The sequence below is a fragment of the Homo sapiens genome, chromosome 18 (genome assembly GCF_000001405.40).
Source record: "Homo sapiens chromosome 18, GRCh38.p14 Primary Assembly".
NCBI lineage: Eukaryota > Metazoa > Chordata > Mammalia > Primates > Hominidae > Homo > Homo sapiens.
The window spans coordinates 47,259,329-47,284,922 of NC_000018.10; the positions used below are offsets into that span (position 1 = coordinate 47,259,329).

The 25,594-nt window shown below is 44.4% G+C and overlaps 1 long non-coding RNA gene across 1 annotated transcript; it reads left to right on the top strand.

Moving 5' to 3' along the window:
• Window positions 1–4,786: 4,786 nt before the first annotated feature.
• Window positions 4,787–24,704, top strand: LOC124904295 (uncharacterized). The gene is made up of 3 exons (XR_007066359.1): window positions 4,787–4,990; window positions 5,649–6,229; window positions 23,058–24,704. It is a non-coding gene; the product is annotated as an uncharacterized LOC124904295 (long non-coding RNA).
• The last annotated feature ends 890 nt before the right edge of the window (window positions 24,705–25,594 follow it).

Consider the following 25,594-nt stretch of genomic DNA (forward strand, 5'->3'; position numbering starts at 1 on the left):
GCTTGGCCAAGGGGCTCTCAGGAGTTTCACTCTAAAAACATGTACTGGCCATCTGAGGCGGTCTATTTGGTGGGAGGCCAGTGTTTCCTAGAGAAGCCAAAAGGCCCTGGCATAGGCCTGCAGCCTAGGAGGAAGGGTTTCTTCTTGGGCTTTCTTCCAAGTTCTGAGATCCCTGCTCACGAGTCCCAGTTCAGAGCTGGGATGGATATAAGATGTGAGTTCAGCATGCTCCAGACCCTTAGACGAAGTTAGAAATTGGAGATGGTAGAAGGGCAGTGGGAGAGGGTGAAGCAGTTTGGGGGGGTGGTGGGGGACACTGTAAAGACTGTGTTCTTGAAGGTTCTGATGTGAGCAGGTGGGAATGAATACGATGGAAACTGAAGTCTCAAGGCGTTGGACCAGTGTGAAAAGAATGAAATGGTATGGTCTGAGATGGGGTGAGGAGAGCTTTGGGGAGGTGCATGCAAATTAGTTGGAATTGGGCAAGTCTTGCCACAGTCCTAAGCAGCACCGTCAGAGCTCAAAACCCAGATTCAGCCCTGGGCCTCTACTATCTAGCCTAGAACTTCTGCACTTTGGGGGTAGACATGGGGATGGGGTGATGACCCAAGGTCCCAGGGGGCTCTGGGAAGAGCCCTGGGTTGGTGTGAGAGGATGGTGAGAGTACAAGATTGGGTCCAGAAAGGCTGCCCTGGGCTTGGTCAGCACAATCTTCGCTCTCCTGGGCGCATCGCTTCTCTGCTTTTACCCCTCGCCAGGGTGGAACCGCTCTGGGTGATCTGGGAGGAATGCCGTTCCCAGCAAGCCGTCCTTAATGGTCCTTTAACAAACTCTTCGATCTCTCTTTGGCCGCTCTGGCTCTCGCTCGCCTCCTCCCTCTTCCCTTCTCCACTGCCTCTATCAGTTATTTATGAGCAGCGTTAATTATTCACGAAAAGAGAAAACTCCAGCTTTGGGAACTTTTCTAGGAGACGTTTGGGGGGTTTCTCTCTTTCCCACCCCTATGGCGGTTTGAGAATTGGGGTCTTCGGGGAGTCTATTTGGCCGGATCCTGCTTTGAAGCAGTGGGGAAAGGGAAGCCCAGTGGTTGGGCCGGAGACGGGGCTAGGGGTGCACCCTTCGTCCCGGTCAGCTCTTGCGGCTGCCTACGTTCCTTCACCTGCCAGGACCGGGAAGTTACTAGGCTCGCCCGCGGGAGTCGCTGTCCGAGCTTGGCAGTGCTGAAACCGCCGGCGTGAGCTAGGGAGCTGCGGGCTGCGGAGGTTCAGGGGCAAAAATCTGGATGCTGTCCTAAGCTAGGGAGCCGCTTTCCACAGCGTCTCCAAAAAGTCTAGTTTGCCTTCTCTCCCTAGCTCTCTTCATATCCCCCCCAACCCCCCGCCCACAAGTGACACCAGAACGTTGTAACCAAAAATTAATTGCCTTAATCAAATCGACCCACCTTCTGCAATTAATCTTTTAGCAACAAATTAGAGACAATTTACCTCAACCTCCCGGGTCAGGCGGAGATAGGTGGGATGGGGTGGGGGATGGTCAGGGTGGGAGACTCTGACAAAATTTACAAATGGTGCGGAATGGGGACTTCGGAATGGGTGTGCGTTTGAAGTGGAGGGGAGGGAGGAGGTCGAGGTCAGCTGCTGGGCTGTGCCGGGGGCTAGAAATTCCTGGAGTCCCTTTGGTCCCCGTATTCTCCAAAGGAAGGGAGGCCGAGGGCGGAGGACGAAGCCACTTACCTGTCCGCGCCGCCCGCGCGGTCTCCGGCCCCCTGCGCGAGGTCCTCCCTCCTGCCTCGCGCTCCACGGCTCCTCCGCGCTCTGCCTCCCGCGGCGCCTGCCGCCTCCCCTGCGCGGATCAGCCGCCGCCGCCCGCCGCCCGCCGTCCTCTGCGTTCCTGCTCGCGATCCGGCCCTTCGCCGCGACCCTGTCCTGTCCCACCCCTCCCCTTCTCGGCGGTTCCTGCAGCGGCTCAGCTCTTCCTACTCTCCTCCTGGGCAAGTTTGTAAGTTTAGGGTGAGGGTCGGTCTCTCCTCGCGCCCTGCTTCTCGGCTTAGCTTGCTCAGATCCGCACCCCCCCACTCCCCACCTCAGACCTCTCTGACGCCGCCTGTTGGTCAGGCAGGGCAGGGCGAGGAGCGCAGCGCCAGCCCCAGCCCCATCACCCCACCCTTCACCCCTCCATGCCCAGTGGTCGAAGGAGGACAGATATGAGGCGAGGGCTGGAGGCCTAGTAATTGAAGTAGGACCAGGGGCAGGAGGGAGCAATCCGCCCTGGGGGCGCGCAGCCTGGGCCGGCAGCTTGAACTCCCTTGCCAGAAGGGTTGTCCCAGGACGCGCAGGTGCGCTTCTCCTGTGCCGCCCTAGGGCAGTCCACTAGGAGGGGGCACCATTTCCACACTTTCCCGGGGAACGACCACCTGAGGTGAGATGAGAACCTATTGTGCGTCTCCAGGAGGGGAGCTGGGAAGATTGGATACGGAAGACTGAGCCCTTCTCAGCATCTCCAGGAAGGAAAGCTTTAGGGCCAAACATAGGCTGCTTTAAAAAAAAAAAAAAAAAAAAAAAGTTAGTCGAATCCGTCTCATAACGAAGTGTCAGACTGCGTGTCAGGGAGACCGCGGGCCAGGGGTTCCAGTTGGAGCCCAGCGTTCCAGGAGGGGATGAAGACCGAGTTCGGTAAAACAGCGTGGTATTACAAAGTTTGCCTTTCAGGCTCCGGCCTAGCTCCTTCCTTGGCAACTTTGCAAGTGCCGGCAACCCTCACTGGATCATCCTACCCTTGGAACTTCTTGGGAAGCCTCGGTTTAGCCTTGGGTCCACCAAGACTTCGGCGAAATGGAGGCGTTCCATCCCCCTCCCCATCCTCGTCCTGTCTTTTTCATTGAAAGAACTGATGGACTGTTTCTGCCCTGCTCCCTCCTTCTCTCATAAACGCTTCCCATAGATTATTCGACACAGAGAAGGAAGGCGGCTGCTTAAAAAACAAAAAGCCATAGCCCTAATGAGTTCAATTACAATGTGGTAAACACATTGCCTCTACGCTTTAATTAAGCCTGCTGCCCAATTTTAACTCATTAGTAATTCATTAAGAGAACAGCCCCGTGCTGGCTGGTGGAAGGCACCGCAGACCGACTGTGCACGAAGTCCACACGCGCGCAGACCGCCGCCGGCCCTCGCCTTGCGCGTGAGCGAGTCAGGTTTGCGACCCAGTGACGTTGTTCTAGTCCAACAAGACTAGAACCCCCGCTCTGCCAGACACACTGGGCTTTGCAGGTCCAAGCTCCCGGGATAACCTTTCCCGGCTTGAGTCCCTCGGGCTTGAAACGTGGTTTAGCAAACCTGTTGGGTGGGGTGGCGGTGGTGTGGGGCCGGGCCACAGTTGAGAAGCAAATCCCCGGGTTAAAAGAGCTTCTCTTGCCTAAGGCCAGATCCAGTCGCCCGGTGTGGCACGTATCCACCCTCCTTCCCTGGTTCTTCTTTCATTTTGCGACAGTCTCATGAAAAATCTAAGTTCGGCCTTAGCTCTCAGCTCCGGCTACCCTCTGCACGCTCCCCGACCCTGTACCCGGGAGAAGCTTCTGTTCAAATGAGACTGATTTTTTGCGTGGTGGGGAGGTGAGGGGAGAAGAAAACTGTTGGCTAGAGAGGTGAATATCTGAAGGGAGAGCACAGACCTCTGCTTTTCCCTCTTTCTCACTCTTCTCCTCTGCTTGGGAGCGGGGCTGGGGTTAAGGCCACATCTGTAACTATGTCAGTTGAGACCAGCCCTCTGTCAGGAAAAGAAATGGAGACAGCGTTGCAGAGCGAATCACTCATGGTCTTTCCATTTCATAATCGAGGGAGACAGCGCAAGCAGGTCAGACTCGACCGGTTCGCTTCCTCCCACCCCTAACTTGGCGGGATCTGAGAAGAAAGTTCCCGCATGTTTGAGCGTCCTAGGGCTTGGATAGGACAGACCTCGTAGGTCCCCAAGCTCCAGCTTGGAGTTCCCAAGGAGAAGGGAAGCGCTAGTGCTATGGAGCGAGGTTTTGGTGAAGAAAAGGGCCTCGCGCCCCCTTAGTGCCGTCGCTCTGGGGAATCTTCTTTCGCTGGGAGGATGAATGGGGCGCTCGCCGCGGCTCATGGCGCCCCCTAGGAGCGGCAGGAAACTTCTCCTGCAGGGCAGCGCGGGCCGGGCTCCGCCTCCGGAAGGCGGGCGGGGAGGGTAGTTGCTGGGGGTCCCTAGGCCGGGCCCCAGGACATCTAGGACATGCCGGGGGCTGTTTGCTACGGCTTCATCCCGGAGCTCCTGCTCGGGGTTGCCGGCTGCCTCTGCTGGCGTCCCTCTTCCCTTCCTTTGCGTAAGCGGCAACTCCTCCAGGAAGCCAGGGGAAGGACGGGATTTCCTCTCCACGTAGGGTAGTAGATCGCATAGCCCAGCCGGATCGCCCAGCAGGAGTGCAGGGCGCGCGTCGGGGTGTCTCCGGCTTGTGGGTGTGCGGTTCGAAACCTTAGCTGGGGTGGGGGAAGGGATGTCTTTAACCTTCTGTCTACCGTCCCCCTCTTCCCTCTCTCAGCCTAGAGGCAGGGGATGCTGCGGAATCAGACTGGGTGCACCAAGGCGGAGGGCCATGCCGGGCTTCGCCCTTCCTGGGTGTCCCGGAGTCCGTTCCGGAGAAACCCTGGCATTGCCAGAACTGGGTCCCCGCACTCACTCCTCCATAATTCGCGGCGGATCAGCGGGAGGAGGGCAGAGGGCGGGGGCGAGGCAGCTTCCTGGCGGGTGTGGCGCAAAGTGTGCGGGGTGTGGCGCAAAGTGCGCGGACCCGGGTCCTGGACCGAAGATTTAGCCCAGGGTTTCGTGTGTGTTGCTCCCTGTTGCTTTCTACGGGGTCTGCGCTGGCCTCCTCCTCGGGCGACTGGGCCCTGAGGCAACAGCGCCTTCTCGAGCCCCGAGGATTGACCGCCCCGAGCCTGCTTGGAGCAGGGCCTCTCTCCAGCGCGGTGTGATGAAAGTAAGAAAATCGGGCCCCTGCCCCAGGCAATAGGGGAGGCCTAAAATGAAGGGGGCAGCGATGGGGTCGGAAATGCGTGCAAGTTGAGAGTCTCGCAGGGAACTCATCTCTTGCTCAGGGTTTCCGTGTTTGGAATCCAGTTAGATGTCTGCGGGGGATCTCCAAGGCTCTCATTCCATGAAGGCATTTTTATCCACTCTGGGGGAGATGTTGCCAGGGCAGACATTTCGGAAAGGTCCCTCGGGCCCGATGTTAATTACAACTGAAATAGATTGTCTTCCTTCACTTTTTTTCTCCTAATGCAAGGACAGGGAGGTAGAATATAATTTATTCCTGTTGACAGTAGGATAAATAAATACATTTTTGGATTACTAAGAGTTGACTGCTAGGGGAAGATAGCTTCCCCACAGTATCAGATGGAACCTTTAGAATTGGCCCTGGGACAAGGAAGTGGCCTTGTTTGTCAGGAGCTTTAATCCAAGCTTCACCCCAAATAGCCACTATGCCCTTCTTTCCTGGCATGGGATATTGAGAACAGGGCTGAACGAGGTCGATTTTGGGGGGTACAGCTGCCAGGGATTTCCCAGGGTCAGCTTAAGCCAATCTTTTGGTTTCCTGCAACTTGCCTTCCTTTTATTTCTTTTTCAACCCTCCATAGCACCAGCTGCTGTGAAGATATACCCTTAGAAACGAACCGTCTGTTAATATGGTAAAAATATTTTTCGCTTTCTTGAATAGTGACTATGGGGATAGGGCTATTACCCCATAGTTTAGGATTCTAAATTGAGCGATGTGGGGTGGGGGAAATAGAAGGGAATCAAATATTTGGAAAGGCACAGAAAGCCAAGATGCCAATTTATTAGTCCCAGATAAGCAAGATAGTAACAGTTTATAAGCCTGTCTTAACAGGGACTGGAAGAGCCTGGGCAATTACTTATGAAAGACAAAACTCAAGACTAAGTTGGGAAGTTCTGTAGGAAAAGCATCGTAAGTCTCACAGTAGTAGTAAAACAGGAAGTGTACTCTGACTCATGTTTGAAGTACTTTTCTGGGAAGGGGAAAAAATGTGTTCATGACTGGAATACTTACCTTGTGCCAAGTATGTGTTAAGCATTTTTCATGTAACCTTTCATTTAATCCTTGTGTGACTTCCATGAGTTAGGTATTACTGTCCACATTTTACAGCTTATGAAAACAGGGGCTCAGAGAGGATGTACTTTTCTCAAGACCACACAGCTGGTAAGTGGCAAAATCTGGTTTCAAGTTCAGATCTGTTTGGATCCCAAATATGCTCTTAACTGATAAACCAGACTGTATACTACTTTACATACACTATACCATTTTGGTCCTTACAATAGCCTCATTAAGTAGCTATGGCCTATGTTAGTTCATTTGATGGATAACAAACACAGAGTCTTTAGACCATGGTCCTCAAACATGAATGTGTCCCCACCCTTAGAGACTTTGATTCCATCAGCCAGCTTGGCATGGGACCCAGATCTCTGGCAGGTGATTCTGAAACTGGTATTTGGGGAGTGTATTTTGACAAACATCACCATAGAGAAAGGTAACTTGCTCCAGGCCATTAGGATTGGGCCAAACTCATACCAGACCCCTTGTTTTCCTTTCCTTTGCATCAAGATCTCAGTGACTTCTTTCATTGATTGATTGATTGGTTGATTGAGACAGGGTCTTGCTCTGTCACCCAGGCTGGAGTGCAGTGGCGCAACCATGGCTCACTGTAACTTTGACTTCCTGGGCTCCAGTGATCCTCCCACCTCAGTCTCCTCAGTAGCTGGGACCACAGGTGCGTGCCACCATGCCCAGCTAATTTTTGTATTTTTGGTAGAGACAGGGTTTCACCATGTTGCCCAGGCTGGTCTCAAACTTTTGAGGTCAAGGGATCCTCCTGCCTCAGCTTACTAAAGCGCTAGAATTACAGGCATGAGCCACCACATCTGGCCTCAGTGACTTCTTTATTGCAATCATATAATTAGAACCCAGAGGCCGGGGTGGGGGTGGGGAAAGTAGGTTCTGGCTATGGTAGCAGATTGCATCTCCCCTTGACCTCCCAGAAGCCACTAACCTAGGCTTCATGGAAGTCAGCGTCCTGAAGTTTCTTAAAATCACACATACCCAGTTTACCTGGGGAAGCAGACTCAGGCACACCAAAGAGTGAGGGCCACCCTACTGCTGGGACTCAGCTACATGGTCCAGAGGAAATATAGAATGGAGAGCAATGAACCACAGACATGTAGTTGTGTTCTCCCTTGGAAGAGGGTGGGAAGCAAGGTCAAAGAAGACAAATGTCCGGACCCAACTGACACATACAATTTAAGTGAAGCTCTAAATCAGGTGCTGCTGGAATGTGTATTTGACTTGGTCCATCCTGGAAGGTCTCACCTTTCCCTCTAGGTGTGTGTGGGGCTTGAACTGCACCCAGAGCTATATGCAAGGAAGAAGACAGGCTCTAGCCCTGCTGGGCACCAATAAACCTGTTGATTGATGGTTTCTATCAGGTTAAACTCTGTGAACATTTTAACAGAAGCCTCCCAGGAGCAATTCCACTGTTTATCTCTGTTTTTAGGCCAATGCAAATGTTTATCATCAAGATTAAATCACATCACTCTTTTAACCCTTGAAAAATGGGATTTACTAAAGCAAACAGTAGGAGATTCTTACTTGCTAAGCCATTCCAGGAAGGTTATGGCAGAAACCAAAATATTTTAGAGCCCTAATTGAGCTTGGCCCTTAGACATTTCAAGACTGTCCTAACTGTGATAGATCATATGTTTGCATTATGCATGAAATAATTTGACATATGTAGTTTTAATAGCACATTGTTAACTCTAAGTGGAGTACTTTTCTGCCCTGCTTTTTGGATGACATACATTCTGTATTTATCTGGCTAGTCCAGCAGCAGAAATGTATTTAATATCCAGAAAAGGCCAGATTTGTGAACACTCTCCTGTTATTATATTGTATGATGTGAACTTATTTGAAAGTCAAGCTAGTCCACTGCTGCAAGGCACTGGAAGGAAGGGCTGCTGCCTTAGTTTCTATTTCTTTTTTCTGGTCTGAAGACAATAAAGATCCCATAAATTGTTTTTTAAGCCTGCTATGAGCAGGAAGTGGGAAGTAAGAAATTAATTGATATATAGGATTTTGTATAGGCCCAAAATGAAGGACACAGGATCCAGTAGATATTCTGGAATTTCAGAGGCTCTAGCAAGGCCCTCTGCTCCTCAAAAGAATTTCCCTACCATCTTGCTAATACTTGGAATTCTTCTAGTGGTGATTTGTGTCTTTGACATCTCTTTAAACTCAAGCAATCATTTATCATTTAGGGTGGATTAGTTTATCACATTTTTTCCTAAGATTTTATTTTGATGGGCTTGAAGGTGTAAAAAGTGTGCAGATGCCACGCTTCTGTGATTAGGAAGGAAATGGCACCATCCACTACGGGCAAAGAGAGCAAAAGAAAAAGGCCCTAGAGGGAGAACTGCTTTAAAATTTTGCCGAGAGTTAACGCTGCCCAGCGCTGGGTGAGGTACTATAAGGGTGCACGCACAGTGCCAGCAAGGCCCCTTACATTCTACTTGGGGAGACAAGATTAATAGTGACATAACAGAACAAGGTGCAATAAAGTCTAACTTGTGTGATTCATAATAAAAGCAATATTGGGGCACAGAGAAGACAAGCCTTCTTTGTGTTGAAGGTCTTTGCGTTGCAGTGTTACTTTGTGAGAGTTGGAGGACTCTTGTGGTGCCTGTAGAACACAGGAGATACTAAGAAACCCCCAAATCAAACACCAAACCAACATTTTATGGATTCCACATTTCCTGGTTCAGAAATCTGTTGAAATGAGTCTTCTCACAGTGGCATAGAAAGAAATGAGAAAGAAATGTGGAGAAGAGTAATGCACAGGCAAAGTGAAAACATTAGCAATCATTTCACCTACCATCAAGAACTGCTGAAATCAGAGACTCCTCAGTCCCTTTTTGCTGCCGGTCCTGATTCATCTTTCATTGGAAACTCCCTGCCGCTCTGGTTGCACTTAATGATGTACGGCCCCGTTGGTACTTAGTGCTCAGGAGTTCATCTTTATACTTCTCTCTTATTAAGAAACATGAATGCCAATCTAATTGGTTGGACTTTAGGAAGCTGATAGGACCATATTTGCTAGCAGAAGATGCTGTATTGTAACAGGTCAGTGCTGGGTTGGTGGGCATTGCTTTATCTCTTGTCATTAGGAATATAGAGTAGTACGATTTGGCATTTGTGTATGGACACTGGCAAAGGTAGAACTGAGCAGGAGGCTTCCCAGCTTACTTTAGTTGGAAGCCTGACCAATTTAGGACAAAGAGTGGGTCACCTGGCCTAGACTTTTTAATGTTGGGATTTGGTGTCTATACTGAGGTAGTGGTAAATTATTACTCTGTGGGACATTTTCTTCTTTTCTTCTATAATTATGTTCTTTGGGAACCTCATGGGAAGGTGGCTTTGTCCATGTTCTCATATATTGTAAAAGTTTTCTGTCTCTAAGAATAATCTTGTGTTATCATTTGAAGTTCAGCTCTAGTTTCTCCTCCTTGAATATGTCTATTTCAGTCCTTAGTGATTTTTCCTTCCTCTAATCTCTTCCAGCACTGGGACTTTCTACCACCTGCTTTATTATTTACCTACTGCTTTGCTTGCTATTTTTTCCTATGCCTTAACTGTATCTTAAACTGCCAACTGAAGTACAAATATCTCAGCAGCCATTGTCTGCCTCTTGGAGAACAGGGAAAGACCATAGTTATCTTATGTTGGTCTTTGTTTATTTAAAAATGTTTTCCTGTTTTCCTGACCTTTGAGGTTATTTTATACTTGGCATTCACTACGGCACATAGCAAAGAGATGAGCATGTAAAGAATGGTCAGTGAAGGCCTGCTGACAGTTTGACTTATTTCAAGATATATATCCTAACATTTCCCCGTACCTATGACTATCAGTTGTCTTTGTATGTGGAATAGGTTGGACTTGATGAAAATTTTTATGATTCTAGTGTTAGTTTTATAACCAGAGAAGAAATCTTTAGATGACAGTGGGGGACTTGGTGTGTATATTGAGCACAGAAGTGGTCTAACCCCTTTGAAACTTTTCCTAACAACTTCGCCTCTTAAGCATGGGCTCTATAATATTCCATAACTGTCAATATCAGTGAACCTTGTTAGCATAACATAAAATATTCTCTGAAATTTTCTTGGAAGCTAATTCTTAACATTGTATATCATCCAGATATTTTGTGGTTTCCTCCTCTGTCCTCACTCAAGTAGTTCACACTTCAGTAGGATTTCTAATAACACTCTCTTTTTAGGTACCCTTATAGTCCCAGGGCTTTATAAGACAGGCTTTACCATGTAATTTGCTTTGGCCAATGAATTATGAGCAAAGAGCACTTCTGGCTGGAAGCTTTAAGGGCCAGCACATGCTTCATCATGATCCCTTTGCCATGACACTAAAAATATTTTGAGATCCCTTTATCAGCCTGGGTTTTGGAGTGAAAACAACATGGAGCTGACCTGCAGTGAACACATTGCATGACTGAGACATAAATGGGGGTTGACTGCCCATGCCATGTCCGCCCTTCCCATCAACAGATGTAGTCTATTTCCCACTCCCTTGAACCTGGGCTTGGCCTGTGATTTACTTTGACATGATTCACACTATCATAAGATTGTAGTAGAAGAGATGTTGAATGAGTTCTGGAGTCTAGGCCTCAAGATATTTTGCAGTTTCCACTTTTACTCTCTTGGGACCTAGCTGCCAAGTAAAGAAGCTTGGGTTAGATAACTGAAAGATATGAAACTTCATAGAAACAGAGGTTTTAGACTTCTAGCCTTCCCTACTACAGTGAGGCCCGCTTTGTCTTTGCAGCTTTCACTGAAGCAGCAGGCGAATGCAACTGCAGGAGCATGTGCGGAACTGCCCAACCAAACCACGACATGCTGAGCAACAATAAATTGTTATTTTAAGTCATTAAGATTTAGGTGTTTTATTTGAAGCTTTAAATAACTGAAACAGAGATCTCTGTTGTTGTAAGCTTCTAAGATTTCGGGATCTTTTTTTTTTTTTTTTTTTTTTTTTGAGACAGGGTCTCCCTCTGTTTTGCAGGCTGGAGTGCAGTGGCATGATCACAGCTCACTGCAGCCTTGATCTCTCAGGTTCAAGTGATCGCTCCCACCTCAGCCTCCCCAGTAGGTGGGACCATAGGTGCGCACTACCACATCCGGCCAAGTTTTGTATTTTCGGTAGAGTCGGGTCTCCCTGTGTTGCCCAGGCTGGTCTCAAACTCCTGAGTTCAAGCGATCCTCCCACCTTGGCCTCCCAAAGTGCTGGGATTATGGACGTGGGCCACCATGCCCGGCCCTGGGATCACTTATTTTTAACCTCAGCATAACTTGCCCTATACTAACTGAAAAAGTTATCAATGTGTTTTTAACCATTTATTTTGATTTATAGATATGGATTTATTTTCATTAGTGATACATTTTAATTTATTTCTATCATTTTGTTTTGTGTCATTTGTTCTGCTTTTCCCTTCTTTCTTCCCTTCTTTCTTTTGGATATTTATTTATTTATTTTTTTGAGACAGAGTCTCACTCGGTCGCCTAGGCTAGGAGAGTGCAGTGGCAAAATCTCGGCTCACTGCAACCTCTGCCTCCCAGGTTCAAGTGATTCTCCTGCCTCAGCTTCCTGAGTAGCTGGGATTACAGGCATGTGCCACCATGCCTGGCTAATTTTTTTATTTTTAGCAGAGATGGGGTTTCACCATGTTGGTCAGGCTGGTCTCGAACTCCTGACCTCAAGTGAACTGTCTGTCTTGACCTCCCAAAGTGCTAGGAATGCAGGCATGAGCCACCGGGCCGGCCTGGATTTTTTTTTTTTTTTTAAACTAATGTTCTCATTTTATTTCACACTTCTTTTTTTTTTTTTTTTTTTTTTTTTTTTGAGACAGAGTCTCGCTCTGTCGCCCAGGCTGGAGTGCAGTGGTGCGGTATTGGCTCACTGCAAGCTCCGCCTCCCGGGTTCACACCATTCTCTTACCTCAGCCTCCCGAGTAGCTGGGACTACAGGCGCCCGCCACTACACCCAGCTAATTTTTTGTATTTTTAGTGGAGATGGGGTTTCACCGTGTTAGCCAGGATGGTCTCGATCTCCTGACCTTGTGATTCACCCGCCTCTGCCTCCCAAAGTGCTGGGATAACAGGCGTAAGCCACTGCGCCCGGCCTATTTCACACTTCTTTTAGTTTATCATTTATATCCTTTATACTTCTTTTATGGTTACCTAGGTCATTTTTAATTGCCCAATTAACTTAACACAGCCTAATATTATTATCCTCCTGAACACTGCAATGATTTTACAGTGGTTTAACTCTGATCACCTCTTGCCCAGCTTATCAGCTATGTTGCTTTATATTTAGTTCTGTGGTATTTTAGCCTTTTTTTTTAGTCATACAAGTTGTATATTATTAATATTGTTTATCTAGTAAATGCTTATTTATATTTACTCACACACTTATTCATACATTTATTTTATTTTATTGAGACAGGGTCTCGCTCTGCCACTGAGGCTGGAATGCAGTGTTGTGATCTCAGCTCCCTGCAACCTCTGCCTCCAGGGCTCAAGCAATCCTCCCCGCCCAGCTTCCCAAGATGCTGGGACTACAGGCATGCGCCAGTATACCCAGGGAAGTTTTTAATTTTTTGTAGAGATGGAGCCTTACTAGATTGCTCAGGATGGTCATATAGTTATATTTACTCATACATATGTCAATATCTTTTGTCTATTAGTTATTCACTTATTTATCAATATTATTTATAATTCCTTTTTGTCTTTGGGAATTAATTTATGTCTGTTTGAAGTATATTCTTTGGAATTTCCTTTAGTGAGAATTTGTTGGTAATGTGGTCAAGCTTTTTCTTCCTTTTCCTTACTTTGTCTAAAAATTATTTTAGTTTCACTTAATTTTTGAAAGATTGTTTTTCTGGCTAATAGAATACTACATTGAGTGTTACCTTCTCTCAGCATATTGATACTATTAGTCTGCTGTGATCTCTCACTGTTGCACTGAGAAATTGCCATCATTCTAACTGCCACTCTTTCTTCTTCCTGGCTATTTTCAATATATTCTTTTTGTCTTTGGTGTTTTCCAGTTACACCATGAAGTATCTAGATTTTAAAATCTTGGTTAATATTGCTTTGGGTTCCTGATTTTTGAGGACTGATGCTTTTCAATGGTTGTGAAAATTCTCAGTCATTATCTTTTCAAATATGATTTATTTCATATTCTCCTTATTGTCTCTTTCAGAAATTCTGATTAGTCATGTGGAAGGCTGCTTCAACCTATCTTACATATCTTGTAAACTTTTTTTTCTGCCCCAACTTTTCATTAATTTCTTTAGCTATACCTTCCAGTTTTCTAATTCTGTCCTCAGCTATATTTAATTTACTATTTAGAGCAATCAATTAAAATTTCAATTTCAGTTATTATATGTACATTTTATTTCTGGAATATCTCTCTGATTCTTCTAAATATGCTGGTTGTATTTAGACCCTTTAGTTGCTTGCACATATTTCCAAGTATACCTTTTACTTCATAGTTATAATTAATATAGTTAGTAATGTAGTTATTATTTATTTTATGTGAACTAATTCCATTATTTGAAGCCTTTCCTGGACTGATCTGCTGTCTACATTTCTGCTAGTTCTCACTCATAATGTCTTGATTTCTTGTGTGTTTTGTGATTTTTTACTGTGAGCTGCTCATTTTATGTGTAAGTTTGTCTATGGGAATTCTTAGTGAAGTTATATTCCTCCGGAGAGGACTTGCATTCCTTCTGCTAGTTACTTTTCCAGCAATAACCCAAGACCAGCTTAAAAAACACTGTTATTGAGGTATTCTGCACATGCCATAAAACTTACCCATTTTAAACATACAATTCAATGAGTTTTGGTAAGTTTACAGTATTGTGCAATTATTATCATCCAGTTTTAAACTTAAAAGACAAATTCTCCAAAGATCCCTTTCCCTGTTTACAGTTAGTCAGTATTCTTACCCCTTAGCCCAATGCAATAGTCTACTTTCTTCCTCTATGGATTTGTCAATTCTGAATATTTCACATAAACAAAATCATACAATATGTAGTCCTTTATATCTGGCCTCTTTCACATAGCACAATGTTTTGAAGATTCATCCATGTTTCCAGGATCATTTTAGGTTAAAGTCTAAGCTTGCAAATTTATTGGACCACAGAAGTAGCATGAATTCAACCACAGTCCTGTGCAAAGGCCAGTTTACAGGTAGAATTTTTTTCCCACCCGATGCTAAGGCTGAAATAGACAAGTTTTCTTATTGACTGTTTCTGAGCAGCAGATTTCTTTATCATTTGCTCTTTTACAGAGGGTGTAGCTCTTTGTGACATTACTTTTATGTCAAGGTTCCCTAATAGACCCCCTACCTTATCTCCAATGCAGCCCCATAGTAGAACGTCAGGGCCTTCAGATTTCAGAAGAGACCCTCAGGGAAAAGCCAGCCTTGGCAGTCATTCAGCCCCAGAATTCTTGCTTTCACTTTATCTTTTGCCTGTGTGTGTGTGTGTGTGTGTGTGTGTGTGTGTGTGTGTTTTAAATAATTGTGCTAGTTTGACAATACTTTTATAAATATAAATTTCATTTTTTCCCCAGTATTTTAGATGTTTTCATGGCAAGGACCCTTCAGGGTGTTTTGTCTGCCATACTCCCGGAAAGAGAAGGCTGACAAGAGCCTTTTACAAGAGTCATTTGCTCACCTGTTTGGATCTCAGATAGGTGAATAATAAGGGAAAAATATTAACGTTCTGAGTAAGAGGCCATCCCAGTCCCTGCCTGCGGTCTCTCCCAATCTTAGCTTACCTAAATCATCTAATGAGGAGTCTTATTTTTGAGTCTACTTTGTTTAGCAGTAGTCTGCGGTCACCCCTGCATACTAATTACCTCGTACACTTTTTTCACCTCTGGTGGGTCAGTGAAAGCAGCCATTTCTCGGACTGCATTGGGAATTGCTAAGGTCTCTGTTCAGCTTAAACCATGTCAGTTTTTTATAGTTGAAGTGGAAAGGGCAGGGATTGGAAATGAGGAAACTGAGACCAGGAGAGGCAAAACAACTCGCCTAATACCACAGAGAGCTGGAACTTGAACTCAGACCCACTGACTTACAATGTTCTTTCCATCACAACATCCTGCCCCTTGTTGATGACAGAGAAAAATGGAGTGAGAGAGTGCAGCACTGGTGCATTCATTAAGGTAAAGTTTTAGAAAAGTCTGAATTTTATTTTATCTTGGATTTCTCTGTTTCCATTGCCCATTGTTAAGTGAGAGTAGTAGTTAAGGAAAACAAACAAACAAACAAGCAAACAAACTTGCTGTTTAATGTTTCTGTTTTTGAACAATGTGGATCATTTTGCCCAGAAATTTCTGACTTCTCAGAATGTTAGAGATGGCCCATTGGTTTGGCCCTTTAACTGGAGGAAAATGAGGGAGGAGCCCAGAGTCTTTATCCCAGTATATCAGCCCCTTTTTGATGAGTTTCTTACCTCATTTTGGGGGAAAGATAATGTTATTAATGCCCTTTCTAGCAATTTGAAAAAAAAGACAAACATGGCTTAGAGTGAAATCCTCGGTGATTGAAAATATCATTAGAAATAAGCTCCTGGTGTTCACTCTGTCATTTCCAAGTGTTCTGATGAGTTTCATTTGAATGCTGCACTATACGGAGTTGGCTGAAGCCCACAACTATGTGCGCGTGTTGGCGACGAGGCCTCTTCCTTGTTGAGGAAGGAGGAGGGAGAGGCAGGCAGATGTCATTTAGTCACCCGTATTTGAAACTGAGATGAGCCCCAAACAGAATCTGCAGATTTGCTTCTGGTGCAGTTATCAGTCACTGCATCCAAACTGCCTCAAGCTGTGCCTGCATAGTGCCCAAACGATGCACTCGTGAGTGAAAAAACAAACAAACAAACAAACAAAAAAACTAGCCAGTATGGTCATCTGAGTCATGAAGACAAATAATCACTATAGCAGGAAAAATTACAATAAAAAAGCCAGCTGTTGAACTGAATTCAATAGTTAAAAAAAAAGGTGGGGGGAGGGCAATAAAAAAATTCAGTGAAATTCCATTTCAGTTTCTGATTGTTTTTCCAGGACTACTTTCAGGGAAAATCAGAGTCTTTGTTTTTAAAAATGATGCCTGCATTGGTTAAAAAAATCCAAGGCAATACTTACACCCCTTTCTTCATCCTAAAGAACCAGCTCCTTAGGGTCTCATTTGCATGTAGGTAGATTCAAAACAGCTGAAGTTGTGTACATCTAATTGGATGGAATTCGAGTCTTTCCCCGAAGCTGTAAAAGAAAAAGCAGGGCCTGGAAACATGATGAATGTTCTTCAGGCGACAAAGATTTGAAACTGCTGCTCTGAGCACTTGCAGGAGGTTTCTACAGCAGCCTTCAAGGCCACCCTACCAAGGCAGTGCTGAATTAGCACTTTTTTCTGCCTTATATAAACAAGAATGCACAAATGAACATAGGTGCAGCAATAAAAATCACAATGAATAATTTGAGCTGTTGCCAAATCTTTGAACCTGATTTTGTTTGCACTTGACTCCCTTGGAAATAGTAAAAAGCAAGAGGTAGAGATGTGCCCAGTTTAAGTTCCTAGGTGGTCCCTGAGGCAATTGATGCTCTGCCTATATTTTCTTGTCACTGACTGTTCCAATACATACCCATGACTTCTGACTGCAAGCGCTTATGAATCTCCTTGCAGGCAGGAATTGTTGGGGACTTCATGCTCTGGGGAGTAGCCCCCAGCCAGTGGTTGGTGGAAGTAGGTGTATACATATCCTGCCTATCTGCCCCTTGATAAGACCACTCTGTGGCATGTTCCATACTATCTGCCAGCATGACTGAGCTTCAGATGCCCACAGTGGTCACCTGATCAATAGTTCCCTCGTTGCTGGCTTCCTTCCCTTCCCTGTCTTCTGTTTCCACTTCCCTTCTGGTGCTTCCTGGAATCATTTCCCAAATAAGGTATTTGCATTCAAATCTTTAGTCTCAGAGTGTGTTCCTGGGAGAATTTAACCAAGACATAGGAAATATCTTCTTTTAACTGAAATCTATTTGTGACATCTAATTCTTTGTCTTTCTGATTTGGCCATCATTCAAAGCATGTTAAAGCTGAGGGTGCAGAAATCACCTTTCCAGTGGTGCATTTCACAGAAGAAATAGAAACTCAAATTACACAGCCAAATGGTTACAGAAATTAGACTAGCAGCCAGTGGTCCTGACTCCCAAGCTGGTACTCCCCCAGCCCCTACTGTCAGGCCTCTGAGCCCAAGCTAAGCCATCATATGCCCTGTGACCTGCACGTGTACATCCAGATGGCCTGAAGCAACTGAAGATCCACAAAAGAAGTGAAAATAGCCAGTTCCTGACTTAACTGATGACATTCCACCATTGTGATTTGTTCCATTTGGTCCATTTGCTACAACTGACGAACCTACATTGACACATCATTATCACCTAAAGACCATAGTTTACATTAGGGTTCACTCTTGGTGTTATACATTTTATAGATTTGAACAAACGAATAATGACATGTATTCAGCATTATAGTATCATATGGAGTAGTTTTTTTGTCTCCATAGTTTTGCCTTTTTCAGAATGCTGTATAGTTGGAATAACACAGTATGTAGCCTTTTCAGATTGGCTTCTTTCACTTAGTAATATGCATTTAAGTTTTCTTCATTCCTTTTATGGCTTGATGGCTAATTTCTTTTTAACACTGAATAATATTCCATTTTCTGGATGTACCACAGTTTATCCATTCACCTATTCAGGGACATCTTGATTGCTTCCAAGTTTTGCCAATTATGCATAAAGCTGCTATGAACATCTGTGTGCAGGTTTTTGTGTGGACATGTTTTCAACTCCTTTGGGTAAATAACAAAGGGCATGATCACTGAATGTCTTTTAACTTTCAATCTATAGTTTCCCATCCCATCTCTTTTTATCCTTGACATTTATTTGTTGAAAAACTGGATTATTTGTCCTATAGAATTTTTCACAGTTTGAGGTTTTCTATCTGCATTCCTGTGGTGTTGTTTACCTTGTTTCTTCTGTCTGCTCTATTCCCTATAAACTGGTCATTAAATCTAGAAGTGTGATCAGATTCAAATTGGATTTTTTTTGGTAAGATTATTGTATGGGAGGTTTTGTGTTCTTCCAGGAGACTTTTCATAAAGGAGTCCTGAAGATGGAGTGTTGTAAGCTTAATGAGGGAGATCATTTTGGGTGATTTGGGGAGGGATGTTCCCAAAGTCTAGAAAGGTGCTATTGACTAGAAAAGTGGCTATTAGCTTCATGCCTGTACAAAATCACACCTGTACAAAATCAGAACGTTCAGTAAACGTGTGTGTGTGTGTACACACATGTGTCTATGTGTCTTTATGTATGAGTTTTGTCCCCAGAATGAGAAAATAATGTGTAGTTCAGATTGTAGCTTAGTTAGGGTATGCCAAATTTCCTGGCTTCTTAAGGAAGTGGAATCTATTAATGAGAAATAAAACATTCTGATATTAATAGTAAAGACTGTAATACTAATATGACTATAATAAGGAATTGTGGCCACAAAGACCAAGAGAAACAGTGTTGCTGCTCTTGTGGCAAGCACTTTCCCTAACCTCTCCCTCTTTAATTTTTCAATCGGTGTGTAGCAATTACATTAGTTGTTGTATTTAATACATAGTATATTTGTTCTTAGACTTTTACGACTGCTGCTAATTAACTGTACAGTCTTTTATTAGTGTTTGAAATTCTAATTACTGCAGTACCAGGAAGTTTTAATATTGTTAGAATGTATTGCTTCTTTATTGACTCCCAGCTTTTCCAACTCTGGTTGTGAACCTTGGTGAGTCAGTATTCATTAGAGGAGCACACGCTGGTTTGAACAACCCTTCTCTTTTATTAACGAACAAAGACGTAAAAAAATGTTTCCTTAGAACTGGGGTTAATGTTGAGTAGCTTGTTGCACATCCCATGCCAATGGCTGATTTTCAAGGAGCCGAGGGAATTTCTGTGACTGGTAAAGAATTACCTGTGTAATGTGCCCACTTCTCCTGACAGGCTGGTCCTCTTCCTGTCCTGCCCACACACTATGCTCTTAGCTCTTACTGGCTCCATGTACACTCTTGGCAGGAATGTCTTCTTTTGTGCCCAGCTATGCTTGCTCAGATGTCACTTTCTCCATTAAGCCTTCCCTAGTCCCAAACTCCCCAGAATTCCCAGTCTAAACCCCTGATTAGCTTGCAAATTTATCCTGTGTCATTCATTAATTGCCTGTGTGTGTTACCATCATGCCCCTAACTGGAACGTAAACTCTGGGAGGGTAAAGATCACCTCATGGGTATCTTCAGTACACCCCACAGCACTGTAATGCTGCAGATACTCAATTATCACTTCTTGATTGATTGTTCCCTATTTGTGGGGAATGAGGGGTACAGAGCAAAATTTAAAAACAAAATTTATGACCTATGTCAACTGCTTTAAATGTAGAATTATAAAATTGTTGACATTTGGGCCATACATGTATTAATGTCTGTCTCAAAACCTTGCCTTGTTCCCATCCTTTCCCACATATACATACTGGGCACCTGCTAAGTAGCAAGTGTGATGTCAGCACTAGGGATGCAAAATGATGAAGACCTGGAGCTTGTGTCTGGTGGAGCAGAGGCATCTGATGAGTGTATGGTATGTTATGACATGACCAATGATGTGTTAGAAGGAAGTCACAGATGATGGGATGCCAGAGGAAAGGGTGGGAAAGTCCTCTTGCGGGGAGGATTCCTTTATCCTTTTGCCTCCTTACTGACTTCAGTGAGTAACTTTTTCCAAGAATGGGATTTTCTAACATAATTTAATGGTGGTTTCTGCTATGATTATCCCTTAACTCTGGGGAGAAGCAGTTCCCCATGTGGCTTTAGAGCACAGGCTCTGGAGTTACATCTGTGTTCTGGGCATGGTGCTGATATTGTCTAGGTGTGGCCTTGGGAAAGTTTCTTAACGTTCCCAAGCCTCAGTTTTCTTATATGAAAAAGGGAGATGATCACTATTCAGTCATGGGGATGGATGAGGATTCAATAAGATGATGCAGAAGTTGTGGGTCTGCTGCATCATGAACGTTCAGTAAATGTTGGCTGTTATGATATTGCTATTCCTTCTAACTTTACTCCCTTTCTTCTCCCCCTCCCTAGAACTTAAGCCCCTTTCCTCTGGTGCCATACATGCCATTAGCTTCACAGAAATATCTCATTGGTTCCTAGGGCTTGTATATCAGTCCCAGGGACATTGTGTAGTTAGACAGGAGACAGTGAGGGAACAGGAACTTGGAAGTTTCCGGTTCTGAGCCTGCCTCCCATCCCGCCTGTTGCCTTTGCTGGGCCTACTCTTTACCAAGTGCAGAGCCAAGGGCTGAGGATTTCTGTCTCCCATTGGGACGTAGGGGGTGAATGAGTTAACATTTACAAAGTGCTCTGAGCTCCTAGGAGAAAAGGCACAATCTAAGTATTCTCATTAGTGCATTAATAATAGATGAGCATAAAGCACTTTACAAATATGCAGTTCTTTAGCAATGCTAAATAATACTTCCACCAAGCTACCTGTGAGTAGAGGGGCTGGTTCTTGAGGCTCTCATGGCCCTAGTCTTGGCTGTCACTAATGCAGAGTGTGATCTAGGCAAAATCACTTTCCCTTCCAGGTCTCAGAACAGACGGGTCAGAATGGATGACGTCAAAGGCATCTCTTAATTTAGTGCCACTTTTTAGGGTTCTTTATTTAGATGGAGAAATGACTACAGCTGGAGTCAGAGCAGTCATTTGTGGGAGGGCATGATGACGTCTCTAAAGCAATGCCAGCTGTTGGGCAGAGATTCCAAGCAGTGGCTGCACCTGCTTCCTCTCCCTCCTTTGTGTCACTGAGAACAGGCTTGCCTTTTCTCTAGGGTAGGGGTGGGAGTCCTTGCCCCCAGGACTGTGGCCAAAAGATCTGTTGGATCTGAGTGCTAGAAAATACTTTACAACCATATTCCTTTAAAAAATGTTGTGGTAAATACATGTAACATAAAATCCATCATTTTAACCCTTTGAAGTGTACATTTCAGTAGCTTTAAGTAACTCCATGTTGTTGTGCAACCAATCTCCAGGACTCTTTTCTTTTTCTCCTTTTTTTTTTTTTTAAGAGATGAAGTCTTGCTCTGTTGCCCAGGCTGGAGTGCAATGGTGCTATCTTGGCTCACTGCAACCTCCGCTTTCTGGGTTTAATGAATTCTTCTGCCTCAGCCTCTCGAGTAGCTGGGACTACAGGCACATGCCACCATGCCTGGCTAATTTTTGTGCTTTTAGTAGAGATGGGGTTTTGCCATGTTGACCAGGCTACTCCCAAACTCCTGACCTCAGATGATCCACCCGCCTCGACCTCCCAAAGTGCTGGGATTACAGGCATGAGCCACTGTGCTGGCCCAGAACCCTTTTCATCTTGCAAAATGGAAACTTTATATCTATTCAACTACAACTTCCCATTTCTCTCTCCCCAAGCCCCTGGCAACACCATTCTACTTCTATCTCTGAGTTTGACTCCTCTAGATTCCTCATATGGATGGAATCAATGGTTTGCTTCACTTAGCACAATATCTTTAAGGTTCACACATGTTGTAGCATGTGTCAGAACTTCCTTCCTTTTTAAGGCTGAGTAATATTCTATTGTGTGTATATACCACTTTTTGCTTATCCATTTATCCATTGATGAACACTTGGATTGCCTCCCTCTTTTGGCTATTGTGAATAATACTGTTATAAACATGGGTGTACAAATATCTTTTTGAGACCCTGCTTTCAATTCTTTTGAGCGTATACCCAGAAGTGGAATTACTGGATCATATGGCAATCTACTTTCAATTCTTTGAGAAAATGACCATATCCCTTTATTCTCCAAAGATGGAGTTGGATGAGAATCTTTGGTGACCTCAGATTCTCCACTCTGCATGGTTATTTCCATCAAAGGCCTCTGCTCTCCCCTGTATTCACTAAATTATGACCCTGAAGATAATTTGCATTTCATCCAGAGGAATACGTAATTTTAGAATTTGGAGCTTAGATGGGACTTTAGAGACTTGCTACTCAATGGAGGTATGCTTTGATTTGGACACATCCAGGGCCTAGAAGCTCATAGCAGTACAATGTAAACTGTCCTGAGGGTAGGGCAACTCTAATTAGAGGTATCAAGCTAAAATTGACCCCCTTAATTTTACCCTTGGTCCAGTGGGACAACACACACACAAGCCACACATAGCCATTCTGGTATTTTATGTCAAGTCTTCTCTCCAGCCCACACATTTGGTTTTGACCACTCCTTACCAGAAACTTCTCACTACCACTGGCTTCAGAGGTGAAATTTGGTGTGTGGTACCTTTTCAGAATCCTTGATATCCTAAACAGATGCCTGGATTACTTCACCTATGCCGGTTTCCTTGGCTCACTCAAAATATGGACAGGTCCCACCTACTTTAAACACAGTTTTCTGCTCCTTGACAGTCTTTCAGATACGTTTGGGGAAATCACAAACTAGTAAGGGGATGATCTTTCCTGCAGGATATACACAAGAAAAGAGATCTTTCAAGGGAATGCCGGGTTACATGTCATATCTGCTAAGATGTGTGCGGCTGCAAGTAACAATGTCTAGAGTAATAAAGACATTTAACGAGCTCACATAACCAAGAGCTGGACTGTTTTAGCTTTGGTGTTGGGGCTCAGTGGTGCCATCCAGGAACCAGGCTCTTTCTATGTGACCCTAGCTTGTTGTCTTTTAATTCTTAAACTTACTGCCTCATGGTCACAAGTAGCTGCCTCAGTTCTAAATAGAAAATCCTTACATACTATGGATTAAGGTAGGAAGAAATGGAAGCCTTCATTCTTATCTCTGTCTCCTTTTTTTAACAGGAAAAAAACCATTCTTCCAGGAGAGGCTCCTCCAAGCAAACTTCCCCTTACATCTCTTACCAGAACTGGGTCACATGCTCCCATCTAAAACAACCACTGGCCATTAGAAATGGTGTTACCATGCCTGTCTTGGACCAATCACATTTGATCCTCTGAGGATAGAGACATGTTGCCACCTGAACAACTGTGGGGTGCTGTACTCCTGGCAAGCAGGGAGAATGGCTGTGGCTAGGCAACTGACAGCATCTACCACAAATATGTTACTCAGAAGAAGAATCGAGGATGGCCATAATTTTTATTTAAAGATTTCTATTTTACAGAGGCATATCTGATTAAGGGACATTTAAACTTCCCTGTTAAACTTATCAAGACAAAAAGACAAGGCATCTTGCCACATTTCTTAAATATTCTCTGCAGTCTCTCTTGACCTTTTCCCAGCTGTGCTGTAAACATAAAGATAATAACATATCTGAATAACATTTTATGGTGCACAGATAATTTTCACATACATTATCCATTTGACCCTCACCATAACTGTGTGGGGTAGGTAAGGTACGATTGTACTTTTCATTAATTTTTTTTTTTTTGAGACACAGTCTCGTTCTGTCACCCAGGCTAGAGTGCAGTGGTGCGATCTGGGCTCACTGCAACCTCCACCTCCCAGGTTCAAGTGATTCTCCTGCCTCAGCCTCCAAGTAGCTGGGATTACAGGCAAGTGCCACCATGCCTGGCTAGTTTTTGTAATTTTTTAGTAGAGACAGGGTTTCACCATGTTGGCCAGGCTGGTCTAGAACTCCTGACCTCAGGTGATCCACGTGCCTCGGCCTCCCAAAGTGCTGGGGTTACAGGCATGAGCCACTGCTCCTGGCCACTTTTCATTAATTTTTATTGGACTTAGGATTAGAAGGATGAGCAAATCCTACTACTTAGTGCGTGGAATACTGGCATCTATTGTTTTTGCTTGGCTCCTCTCTTGTTTTAATAATTAACTAATCGATCCATTCTCTTTTATTGCCATCTCCCACTCACACTTTTTCCTCCACATAGGCAATCATTCTAAATATGTCCAATGTTTATCTTATTTGTATGCGTATTTATAAAGTGAATATTTTGTTTAGTGTGTATGCAGTTTCGTTTGCATAAATTGTAATATTCTGTGAATCTCATTCTGTTTTGTACTTTTTTCATTCTGCTCTGTTTTTAGAAGTGATCCATGTTGCTATGTGTATCTACTCCATTGCCTTTAAATGCTGCATAATACTCCACGGTGTTTGTCGATCATGTTTTACTCATCTTTGCCCCCTAGTGGAAACCATGATGGCCTCCAACTCTGCACACAAATAGTTTCAAACAAGAACCGCTGGTGAAATGTGACTGCTGATGGACCTGGGTGGGAATTTCTCTGGGATGCCGACTAAAAAGCATGGTGGCTGGGTCATAAAATGCACACTTAATTTGAATAAGTGCCACCCAGTGGCTCTCCACAAAGCCTGCACTAGTCCATTCTACTAGAAATTATTCACATTTAACTGGAAACTGGGTCTTGGAGATGTTAAGTAACTTGCTCAAGCTCACATAAGGAGTAAAAGTGAATTAGGACATCCAGGACCCAAATCCAGGCCTTGTAACTTCAGGTCAATTTTATTTTCCAGGGCACCACCCTCTAAGTCTCTGGATCATAATATGGAGCACTAATAAAAAGATTTCTTGAGGCTTTTGTTATTTACATAATGAATTTCAGAAATGGCTTACTGGTGCTACTGGCAAGTTGCAGGCAGAAGAAAGAATGAAAGCGAATGGGCATCTCATGTTCTATTCTCTGATTCAACCTGTTTTGGGTCCCTTTTGACTGCTTTACCACAGTTGCTATTACATTATTTTGGGAAGTATTTAAAAAAGAAGAGAAAGTGCTGGATATCTGAACTCCTTTCCTCCAGTCTGCCATGGGCCAAAATGTAGTACCACCATGCCTGACTAGAAAGTAAAAGAGGAATCATAGAATCAGATAGTGTTATAACCAGAATGGGCCTTACAGACCATTTAGTCTAGTCCTCCCATTTTATAGATGAGAAAATGGAGGCCCAGAGAGAGGAAGACAGTTGCCTGAGGTCACACAGCTGGAAGGAGAGCAGGATGGGCACCCAGGCTTTCTGAAAACCAGTCTCTTTGATGCAGGTGAACCCCCACATTGGGGCTCAGCTCAAGAGGGTTCTTAGCTTTGCTCAGGAAGGAATTCAAGAGTGAGCTGACAGTTAAAGAAAGCAAGTTTTTAGAGCAATAGTGTACAGCAAAATGGCTGCTCCACAGACAGAGCAGGGCCATCCCATAGGCAGAGTAGCACTTGTGCATTGCTGGCTAGCTCTATTTATAGCTGCTCCTAATTATATGCTAAATAAGCGGTGGGTTATTCACAGATTTTCTAGAAAAGGTGTGGGGAATTTCCAGAACTGATGGTTCCTTCCTCTTTAAACCATGTAAGGTAACTTCTGGGTTTTGCCATGACATCAACTGTCATGGTGCTGGTGGGAAGTGTTTTA